This window comes from Homo sapiens, chromosome 1 (assembly GCF_000001405.40).
Source record: "Homo sapiens chromosome 1, GRCh38.p14 Primary Assembly".
Classification (NCBI taxonomy): Eukaryota; Metazoa; Chordata; class Mammalia; order Primates; family Hominidae; genus Homo; species Homo sapiens.
Window position 1 is genome coordinate 83075132 of NC_000001.11, and position 12248 is coordinate 83087379.

Consider the following 12248-nt stretch of genomic DNA (forward strand, 5'->3'; position numbering starts at 1 on the left):
CCTTGCTCCAATATTGTCTTTTCTCTCATACAAAAAACTCTTACCAAGAGAAACTCTTACCTGAGAAACAAATATATATTGCTAACCTGGAAGAGTTAGAAGGCAGTGTCTTTTAGCATTACTCTTCAGTGTTACAGTGGTCACAGAATATTTCACTTCTGTTTTTTTCTGATGTTGCCTCTGATGTCTGGCATAGAATGAGAGGTTTCTACATAAGACCCAGGAGACATATCAGGGACTTAGACCTAATTGAGTTGACTTAATCAAAGTGTCTGGTTATCCAGATTCACATAAATAGAAACTTTTTAAGTGCATAAAAGTAAGCCTCATTTGATACTTTAACCTAAAATGCCATTGTTAAATTGTGTGTTTTTTTATTAAGTAGCTTTACTAAAAATAAGACTCAGAAATGCTCTTCACTTTCTGGAAACCATCACTGCCTTCTTCTGAATTGTGACAGTGGTCCCTCTAGGGATATGTGGTAAAATTATCAAGTTTTTACATAGATGAAAATTTGACCCATAAGGGGTACGCACATGCTTTGTGATGCATGGAAAATCTAGTGTTAATTAGAGCTCATTTTTCAACTCCTTCTAGGATTCCTAGATAGTAGATAGTAAAGTAACAATGATACAAATAACATCATTTAACATAAAAAATAATGTTTTATTTGGATTGTAGTTGGCAACAATATATCCTAAAAATATTAAAATGTTACATGTTTATGGGGGTGGGGGGAAATATGAGAAAGAAGGATACTATAACTAGGAAAAATAATTTTAAAATGTGCACTCCTGTGGGACAAAAGGTAATGAGATTTCCTGTGATAGATTGTATTATTGCTAACAAAATAAAGTTTGCTATCCCTCCCTGGGAATATTATACATTTCATTTCCATTTATGTCAGGCTAGGCCACAAAACTTACTTTGCCCAGTGAAAGGTTAGAACCTGAGAAGATGTAAGAACCAATGCATGGTTAACCAAAAATTTTTTCCTTTTCCTGTTAAGATGACAAGCAATAGTAGCCAGAATCCTGGAGTGAATAGACATGGAGAAGAGCTGCCTTTTCTTCTCAACTGACAAGTCACGTGGGTAAGAAATTAACCTACTTTTGTTGTAAGCCAATACAATTTTGGGATTGTTACTGCAGCCTAACCTACCCTTTACTTACTGATAGACTTTCTACAAGGTGCAACAGATTTCATCCCTGTTTTTTAAAGCAGCAACTAGATGACTCAATGTTCTAAATACTACATAAGGGGCTTTTTTGAAGGGCTCCCTTGGTTAAACAGTTAATAATATCCCCACTCTACAAGAGTACAGTCAATAGTTTCTTCAGTCAGGGCTAGAAAATCTTGGCTACAATGAGTAAATAAGGTCTGTCCTGTCCATGTGACAATGTACAATTGTGACAATAAAGAAAACAATACACACTAGAGAATGAAAAGTGCATATAGCTAAATGATCAAGGTATCTAAAACATAATCATATAAACTAGAATATGATGTAGCGAGGTTCAGATATTAATTTTTTATTTTCCTCACTCAACAGTTTTGATGTTTTTTTGTTTGGTTAGCTTGTTGTTTGTTACTACAGCTTGGGTCTCTTCCAGTCTTTCATTGTTCAGGTTCTATGGATATTCTTCATGATGTTGTGTACTATTTTTTTCCATAAGTTTCTATTCCAATATATAACTTTTTTTCTTTGCAGAAAATTCTGCATCTTTCCATTTAGAATTGCTCAAAGTGAACTTTAAATTTAATGATTATCATCTATATTGAAGGTAGTTTTCTTTTCAAATGGTCTTAAAATTACCAGATGCTAGTTCTTGTCACTAAGAAATAGCTTCTCTTGTCATGAAGTGAAGCTCTGCTTAATAATAAAAGTGATGATGATAACAATGATGATAATGACTGTCATTTATTTTGACCCACCAAGTCTCAGGAAGTAGAAAATATTTGGTATTTTATAAAAATTATCTCATTTAGGCCTCTCAAAATCCATACAAAATAGTTGCTATTTTCACTTTAAATTTAAGTAAACTGACAAGAAAATTTGCTTGCCTAGTGTCCCAAAACAAGTTTCAAAGTCCCTTGTTCTTCTGCTAAGCTACATTATCTTCTCACACTATTCTGTGCATCTGTCAGTCATCTGTCTCTCTATTGCATCCTGTGCTCTAGCAATGGGAAATCTCTAATGAGAATGCTTCTTTAAAGCAAAATGTAATTATTGTTTGGCATCTGAGTGGAAAAAGATTACTTCTATTGGGTAGTAATATGCTCATCATGGCATTTCTTAGATAAGACCGTTAAACACCTTCCTGATTATATCAACCTTAATTTTATTATGCCATGCCCAGTATAATACAAGAGGAACTAATACTCATCAGCAGGCTTAGAGAAATGATGAAGGAGCGGGAATAAAGCCAGCCAGTGTTAAGGTCTGGCCTCCAGGGAGAGGTAGCAACTCAGCTCTATTTTAGTCAGCTGTTTTTAATAGGATTATTTCTGAGGAGTTGGGTAGAGGATCTCTAAGCAAAGTGAGATGAGTAATAGAACAGTGCTTCTAACACCATTAAACTGGGTTGAAGGAAAGCCCAAGCTATTGGGTAGTGTTATGCAGATCAGGGACTAATTTGTTGAGAAAGGGGGAAAAATATATGCCAGAATAGGTGAGGCTCCAACCAAAAGAATAGAGCAGAGCCTCAAGGGCAGCAGCGTAAATCAATCATCACTTAGTAAACTAAACATAGGGTTATTGGTGACAAAGCTCAATAGACACATGAAAGCCAAATGACCCACACTCTGTGCATCCACTAGGATTAGAACTATTAGACTAACTTCAGGTCATGAATGACTCCTGAAATCATTGGTTGGCAGAGATTCAAGGTTTATGGTGAGATGCAACTGTAGGATAAAGATTTTGATTAGAAAGCCCAGATCTGCCTTTCACACACTGTGATCATGGGCAAGTTACTTAATTACTCTAGGCCTCAATTTCCTCAATTGCAAAATGGCGATAATAGTAGCACACACCTCAAGAATTTCTTCTTTTTATTATTGTATAATAAACTGTTTGCTATTGAGTAAAGAAAAAAATACTGATGGATGAGCAATTGGTTCAAATTACTTGTACTAACCCTTTAAACATTAAGAAGCTCTGTAGAAGTTAAATTACTAGAGGGCATTTCCTGGAAATACAATGAGCTCAGAGGAATTAGAATTCTTTTTCTAATCCTCTATTCCCACCATCACCACTACAGTTAAGTCCAATATTACCATCTGTCAATTGGATATATTTACATTCATAGTGTGCCTTGAATAACCTTACTCTCATACTTGCTTCTCCTTTCACTGGTCTAATATAGTTCACAGGAACACATGCTCATATGCACCAAAGTTCAGAACCACTATTTCTTCCACTTCTATGTCTAATTTATTTCCAAGTCTTACTCATTCTACCTCTATAATATTTCTCCTATCTTTTCTCTTTTGTTCATTTAACCATTGGACCCCCTAATTACCATTTGGGTAGTCTGTTATAACATGTGATTTGTTTGACTTCTTTTTCTCTAAATTACTTCCCTATGATCCAACCTGTGTGCCATCTTTATCTTATGAAAGCACATATAATCAAGCATTTCCCTTACCTAAACATTATCAATGGTTCTTCATTTCCTGTTGAATAAAGTATGTATGCTACCCTGGCATTCATGGTCTTTCTTAAATTGGCCTCAATACACGGTTCATTGTAATCTTATTCTTATTACTCTCTTTCTTGCATTTTATTTCTGGGCTAACTATTCTAGGTATTTTGAACACAGTTTCTCATGCTTTTCTACCTTTGGCTTTATTCATGCTGTTTTTTTCTGTCACCCAATGTGAAATATGCATAAAATCATATTCATTCTTTAAAATTCAATTGAAATACTTTTATTACTGTATTTCTTAATGGCCCTCATTGCTTTTACTTTGAATTACAGCTGAGTATGTTGTATAGATTGAATTGTGTCTCGATCTATTTCCCCAATTCATGTGTTGAAGCCCTAGCCCCCAGTGTGACTGTATCTGGAGATAGGGTCTTTAGGAGATAATTTAGATTAAATGAGAAATGAGATTATCTGGTAGGACTGTGGTTTTATAAGACGGGAAAGATCTCTCTCTCTCTCGATCTCTCTCTCTCTCTCTGCTATATGAGAACATGGTAAGAAGGCAGCTGTCTGCTAGCCAAGGAGAGAGCCCTCACCAGAAACTGAATCCTACCAGAATCATTAACTTGGATTTTCCAGCCTCCACACTGTGAGAAAATGAATTTTGTTGTTTAAACTACCCAGCATATGGTATTTTGTTATGGCAGCCCAAGCAGACTCATACACATGTCCATGGCCTATTAACTTAAACTGTAAGCTCCTTAATGAGAATTCTTGCACCTTAATAACCTTTGTGTTTTTCAATTTGTGTATCATAATTTATTGTACAAAATTGGTGTTTGATAAATGTTAAATTAATAAAAAATGAATAAAGAAATACATAAATCCAGGACATGGAAAGTGAAATGCCTTCTGAAAGAAATGGGTAATTACGGGAAGAAATGTTTCAAGGACGATTTTTTTAGGCCACAGCTGCATATTGTTTTATTTACTGGCCTGAGTATTTATCACATAAACTATTCTCCACATTTAGGAATAGTTTTAAATAATTATGTAAAAGCACACATTATTTTGTTTTTTATCAGATAGAAATCCTTTCCTTTTCAGAAACCCACACACTGAGGATGAAAACTCTTATAAAACTGAAGATCAAAACTTCAACAATTTCAGAGGAAATTGAAAACTTTTCAGAGAAAAAAGTGCAGTCTCTCTGCAGCTAAATTTTTGCCAAGTATATATCAGTATTTGTGATCTGGATAGTTGGAGTGTTTTTGTTTAGAAAACACTGAAGATATTATGAATTTAGGAATGAGTAGGAAGGAAGTGTGTTGAATTAGCATATGCATGCTAACATCTGCTGGAGAGAGTACTGAGGATGCTCAAAATATCATACCCTTACAAGGGTGAAGGAAAGGAAAGGAAATGAAAGAAAATGGAGATGTAGGAAAAGGAGAAATGCAATCTTTGAATCATCTATAGCTTTTTGAAACAAAGTTCTGTATTCTCAGTTGTTCTCTACAGAGCTAACCTCACAACTTGAATTCAACAAATCATGAATAACAATAATTCTAATACTATAATTTGTTATTATGTAGTTTGTCTTCAAGGTATAGTCAACCTAAACCCAATAATTAGGGGAATATCAGCAGCTTTATATTTAAGTATTTCCATATTTAATGAACACAAATGCCATGGCTAAGGTAATCATTCCTAACCATTACCATCACCGTTTATCTTAAAGAGAAGAAAGACCCGTCTTAGTTCGTGCTGCTGTAACAGAATATCACCAGCTAGGTAATTTATAGAGATCAGAAATTTATTTCTCACAGTTCTGGAGGCTGGGAAGTCCAAGATCAGGGCACTGGCATTTGTATCTGGTGAGGGTCCCATTCCCTCTTTCCAAGATGGTGCCTTGTGACTGTGTCCTGCAGTGGAGACAAACGCTGTGTCCTTACATGGTGGAAGATGGAAGGGCAAGAGAGAGGGGACAGACTTTCTCTGAATTCTCATTTATAAGGACACTAATGATTTCGTGGGGGCTCTCAATCACTTCCCCAAAGGTTAGACCTCTTAATACCACCACAATGAGGATTGACTTTCAACAAGAATTTTGAAGACACAAATTCAAACCATAGCAAGTCCTTTGTAATTTCACACAATATAAGAATCTTAGACATGGTGCAATAGGACAAAGAAAGCTATTGGTTCTGCTACCTTTTGACACATTAGGAAAAAGTGTATTGTTATTTGAGTGTTACATTTAAATGACTACTACTGAGAAGTGCTCTTTCACAGCCTCATTTATTTATGACACAATTACTTATTAAGCATTTGCAATATGTGGGGCATAAGGCAGCAGACAAGACAGGTAAGCTTTTTACCTTCATGCAGCTTACATTTAAATAAGAAAAAGAGAAAGAAAGGAAGAAAGAGAGGAGATACTTAGAGATTTTGATACATACTGTCAAGCAAATCAACAGTGAATGTGACAGAGTGTTATTGTGATGGTTGAGAGCCAAGGTTCTACTATAGAAAGAATGGTCAGAGAAGTCACGGGTATCATTTGGGACCTGAAGTGTGAGAAGTGGCCAGCCAGGCCTAGAGCAAGAGTAGGGGAAAAAACATTGCAGACAGAGAAAAACAAATTAGAGACTCTGTAAAAGGAAATATGCTGGAATGTATGACATGAAAGGAGGCCAGTGTGGCTGTACCCTGCAGAAAAAGGCTGATAGTGACATGAGACAGAGCTGGAGAGGTAGGCAGGAGGTAGCATGTGTAAGACCTTACAGGTCCAAGAGTTAGGTTGATTTTTTTCCTGAGTTCAATGGAAAACGATGTAACTACCTCAAGCAAGGTAGCAATCATTATAACCACTCTAGTTGCTGTGAAGAGAATGGAATAGAAGTAGAAAAGAGTGAACATATGAATATAGAGAGGCTTTTGCAGTAACTCAGCAGCAAGATGATGATTTAGGACTGAAGGTAAACATGAAGAAAATGAAAGGATTTAAGACATTTTATAGATCTACAAGTAACAGCAATTGTTGATGGATTATATAGAGCTGGGAGGTGAAGAAGAGATAGAAATTAAGCATATCTCTTAGGTTTTTAGTTGGAAGAATTAGATGTATGATGGCCCCACTTTCTGAGATGGAAAAGACTAGGGATTAATTTTTATTGTCCTCCTAAATATGTGAAGCTTAATATCTGTTAGCCAATGAGACATAAAGTCAGTAAGAAAATTAAGCTTTTGGTGCTACAAAACTCAAACTTAGAAGACAGATACAGGCTCAAGATACAAATTCAGAATTTTCTTAGATGGTTCTTCCATTTAATGACAGAATAGAGACAGAAATCCTTGTCAAAAGCATTGAGGATGGTCAGTAAAGTAAAAATTCAAGAAAACCAAGGAATTATGGATTCCATAATTCCAAAAAGAGAACATTGAGAGTAGCATGTGGTCCAGTATGTCAACAATTGCCAAAAGTAGCATGCAATACAACAAAGAGGTTTCTATCAAATTGTAATTTATTTTGATTAGCCAGCATAATTGGAATATAAGTTCTTAATCAACACTTGGTTTTCTAGGATATCTAACTGGCTTTTTAAAATCCAATTCAAAATGATAGAATGCTGCAATTCTTATGAATTCATTTGTTCATTTGATCAATAACAGGTGTTACACTCCTTGCTAGACACTATTGGAAATACTTTATCATCTCCTAATCTCTTATTGCAACCAAAATTTTATCTCTATAATTTAAGACCAATCTGTTTTAGAATAGTCTAATTTCAACTTATGTCATAAATTCTAGACCAATTACTTTTTAGTTCCCAATTCCATTTAAATTTCCTTTTGCAATGATAACAATTATCCCGGCCACCTACCATTTCCCAAGAATGTAGCATTTCATAAACTTCTATTTCTCCTACCATTGATATGGCCATGAAATCACATTTGGACTGGAACAGACTTAGGAAAATAGAATCATTAAATTAGAGCTTAATGAAAGTCAGGCTATTTTTTCTCACCTAAACACGTAATGGAAAGGAGCTTCTCTGAAAGAAGAAAAAGACAGGTGATCATATGAAAACATAAAACAACCAAAAACAACAACAACAACAAAAAACTAATGACTTGATTAGGCATGTTATTCTAATTTTTTTTTAGTGGTTTCATTTTTCAATCATTTTTTCATGGAGATTAGGAGACTGGACTAAGGCCGTTGCAGAAAAACAACAGTAGAATCTCCTATAATGGCATTGAGCCAAACGTCTCATATTATGAGTTTTGGCACAAGGTGTCACTTTGAAAGTGCAGACCTGTTTCTATGTGTATCAGGCAAATCCACACTGCATTCTTTATAAGGCATGGTCTTTATTAGTGCTTGGTCTTTTACATTATACATGGTCCACCTATTGGCACAGCTTTTCAAGGATTTTATTAAGTGCAATTCTACATGTTATTTGCAAGCATGGTGTTTGTTAGTGACATAATTATCCATCCAGACCCAAATTATAGAAATTGGAAATTTTAAAGTTATGCGTTTTACACATTATGAAAAGAAAAGAAAAAAAAGATCCTCTGGTGGCCTGTTCGTGAAAATGTTATGCATATGATATAATGATCTTTAGTTCAAAAATACTTACTGTGCAGATCTTAATAGAAAATCTAGAGTTTTACCTTCATGGTGACATTTGTCACTTAACTGGGTGAGAAAGATGATATGAAAGCATTCTCACATGGGGGTCATAGTAAAATAACTGAAGGAGATACAGATGAGGCCAATAAAAGCAAAAAATCCCATATGATGAACTGTTCAGATGTGTCAGTAGGAAAGAATAAGTTCTTTAAATACTTATGTCAGTATTGTTGCTATTTTGTTTTTAATATTAATAAATATTACTATTTTATTTTAATATTTAATTAATATTAAATTTTTAAATAATTTTTAAAAATTTAAATTATTTAAATTTAATTTAAATTATTTAAAATATTTTTATTTAAATATTTAAATTAATTTAATTTAAATAATTAAATTAATTTAATTATTTAAAAATTTTAAATACTTAAATTAATATTAAATTAATATTAAATTTAAAATTAATATTAAATTTGTTGAGGCTGCTTTTGGAAATCAATAACTTGATTTTCATTATCATTTTAAAGAACATAAGGCCATTTATTGATTTAAGGTGACTCGATTTAAGTTTGGGCCTTCCTTCCTTGCCCCTTTAGCCTTGATATGTGATACCAGGATAAATAGGATTACATAGCATTGCCTCGAAGTAAAAAGAACAGGTGGAGGCTGTGGTTGTATTTTTTTTTTCCCCCAAGAGCAGTTTGCACTTCTGCTTGTTAGCAAATTACAGCCTCTTGTATTCACTTTCCAAAATAGAAATGGAAAACTGAGATAAAAAGAATAACAACAAAACACATAATACCTCTATTACCTACACCAACACAAGCTTACTTTCTATCATCTATTGACTGTTTACAAAGAGAAAGATGAAAATCCCACCACATTAATGTGTGAGGATCCACCTCAGTGGTTTAGGGTGAGAACTAGAGATCTTAAAATCTTTTATTTTTGTCCTTGTAAATCATTCTGTTATTAATAAAACAAATTATTTTTTATGTTGTTTGCTCTACTGCCATTTTATGGGCACTATTGCTTGTTTCTGGGCAGACGTTTAGTTGATTGTCTTAAAAACAGTGGGCTAGAGCAGTAGTTTCTAAATTTTAATGTGCATATGAATCACTTGGGAATATTGTTAAAATGTAGATTCCAACTTGATTGGTGTAGGGTGGAGCCTGAGATTCTGCACTTCTAACAAGTCCCAAGGTAGTAAGATACTGCTGGTCCACGGACCACACTTTGAGTAGCAAGGGGTTGAAAAACTGGAGGGAGACACCTCTGACTTATCTTTCTGAGCAAGTCACATACATAGTGTATCCATAGAAATGAAGTTTTAAAATTCCTTTTTTTAGGTTTAAATGTAACGGAACTTATTCTGTGGTTTTATCTGGATTAGTCAAAAACTTTATTGAGAAGTGTAGGTTCCAGAATATGATACATGGAATGGACTAACACGATTATTCCTTTTCATTGTATAAATTTTATATTGCCAAGAATAATCACAAGTTTGTAGTTGTTCCTAGAATACATTTATTTTTAAAAGTAGGAAAGCTTTTGGCTATGTCTGTGCCTAAATTGCTCTAATTTGTGGTGTCTTTCTTAACCAATAGCGTTCCTCTTATAAGACGTGTATTTTGAGGCTTCCCAAAAGATTAACCTGATCACATAACAAGAGTGTAAAAACTTGTGGTTGACCGCTGATCCTTTTAACATCGATCTAACTCCTTTGGCAAGTTAGAAGAAAAAGAAGTAATCCAGTGGTTTTCTACAAAAGTTGAATTAGTTGTAGCCATGTGGGGATCAGAATCATCTGGAGAACTTTTAAAAATTATACAATTCTCCCTCCCCAACTCACATGCCTTTTCAAATATTAAGATCTCATGGTGGGAACATGGCTATTTTAATTTGAAAAAAATGACCCAGGTGGTTCCGATTTGCCTCCTCCATCCCGCCCAAATTAAGAACTGCTGAAATAAATTAATGACATACTTTGAGTCTCACCTTTCATTCCGAATTTTAAAGTCAAAGCCATAAAATGTCTAAACTGTTTTGTGTACTTTTATTTTTTCAAACAGTTATATAATACTAAAGGTTCTGAGTTAAAATGTTCTCACAAGACCAAGGAGCTACAGCAAACTTACATGGCAGCATATTCCATTGCACAGGCTAGGGGTTCTCAATCCTGGCTGTAACCCTGGAATAACATGGGAAATGTTTTAAAACACCAAAGCGTAAGCCCCACCCCAGACCAATTAAATCAAGCTCTGTAGGCATGGAGTCTGGCATCATTATTTTTAAAGCTCCCCAGGTAATTCTTGTATGCAGTCAGAACTGAGAACCATTATGGGCCAAAGACCCAGAAACCCTTTGTCTATAGAGCAATCTAGAGTAAGTTCTTTTTATATTAAGTAAAATATTGAGTTTCAGAGTATGCAATCAATGACAGGAACTTCCATTCTTCTCATGGAATTATTCAAGACTTTTTTTATTCCTGAGTCTATAGGATCCTTTGGAATACTAAGAAATAGATCATCACACATTTGACCTTTTCTGAAAATAAGTGGCAATTATAATATCAAGCAATATGTCTTCACTAATCTCAATATATGTCTCAAGGTATGTAGAAGTGAATGAATTCAGTTTAATAAATTTAGTGCTAATGGCATTTGAGTATATAGTATGTACATTATTAGGTCCTTTCACTTAAGGATCTGCACGTTTTTTTGTTTGTTTAGTTTGCAATCCAATTGTATGTTTAAAAAAATAAACAAAACCCAAAAATGTCTTACAGAGGAAATAAATCCCTTGAGGACAGTGAAGAAATAACTTTGAGATCACCTTCCCATCCTTCCGATTTCTTCAATGAGAGCTTAAATGGATTTTCAAAAAATCAGGTATAGTTTACATGAAGTGAAATTCACCCTTTTCAGTGTGTAGTACTGAGAGATAATTCTCCATGGGTCGCTCACATTTTTGCATGTGTTGTGAGCAGAGGCACTGGCTGTCCTTTCTTCTGGGCTATCTTTCAAGGATGTTTGTATAGCAAGTAGCCTTGGAAGACTGTTTCCCACTGAAACAAGAAAGCATTTTATGAGTCACCAGGTAAAGTTTCCTGAGACTATATGGGCAGATTCTTTTGTTTTGTTTTGTTTTGTTTTGTTTTGTTTTGTTTGTTTTGTTTGAGATGAAGTCTCACTCTGTCCTCCAGGCTGGAGTGCAGTGGCACGATCTCAGCTCACTGCAACCTCCATATATGGGCAGATTCTTAATGTCAGTTTCCTAGCAGTCAAAGAAAAAAATATTGCTTCAGCTTTCTACCACCAAAATGAGGCCCAACACCTTACTGAACTGCTTGACTATTCGGGACAGTGTATTTCTACCTGGGGCATTCTACTGGGTCTATTATATTGGCTAAGCCACAAATCAGCATGTTTTGTGTGTGAGGTCCAAATTAATAGATTGTCTAGAAAGTTGTGGCACACTCTACATTTGGGGCCCCACACTCCTAAAAAAAAATCCCTTAAGAACAATCATATTAGTAAATTCAAAGTATATTCTGGAACCCTCATTTCTCAATAAAGATTTTTACTAACCCAAATAAAACCACAAAATAAGTTCCTTTACATTGAAAGTCTCTGTGACTTGGCTTTGCCAAGTATCCTATCAGAGGAAAGTAACCTCTATTTAGGGGAGCTTCTTATGGTTTGGACTCATTGCTTCTGTGACGCAGCTACCACCCTTTCTGAGAAGCAAGTATTGGCTTGTTCCTGGGGTCTTGCCAAAACCGAACTCCCGGCCCATGGACGACTTGTAACGCTACTGCTGAGCGTTTCCATTTGAGTGTATGTCAACTCAGACTCAATAACTACCAGGATGGGAGGTTACTGAGTTACCAACCAGCCTTGCTTGTCCAATGCCAATGATATTTTTAACAACATCCCTGACCTCAGAGGTATCTT

At 34.9% G+C, this 12248-nt stretch overlaps 1 long non-coding RNA gene across 1 annotated transcript in view; it reads left to right on the forward strand.

The window, feature by feature from the left end:
• Nucleotides 1-12248, forward strand: part of LINC01362 (long intergenic non-protein coding RNA 1362) — a 263633-nt gene that overhangs the window by 171949 nt on the left and 79436 nt on the right. Inside the window, exons 6-7 of the long non-coding RNA NR_147074.1 lie at nt 1010-1093; nt 11081-11183. This is a non-coding gene — a long non-coding RNA (long intergenic non-protein coding RNA 1362). The remainder of the gene's footprint in view (nt 1-1009; nt 1094-11080; nt 11184-12248) is intronic.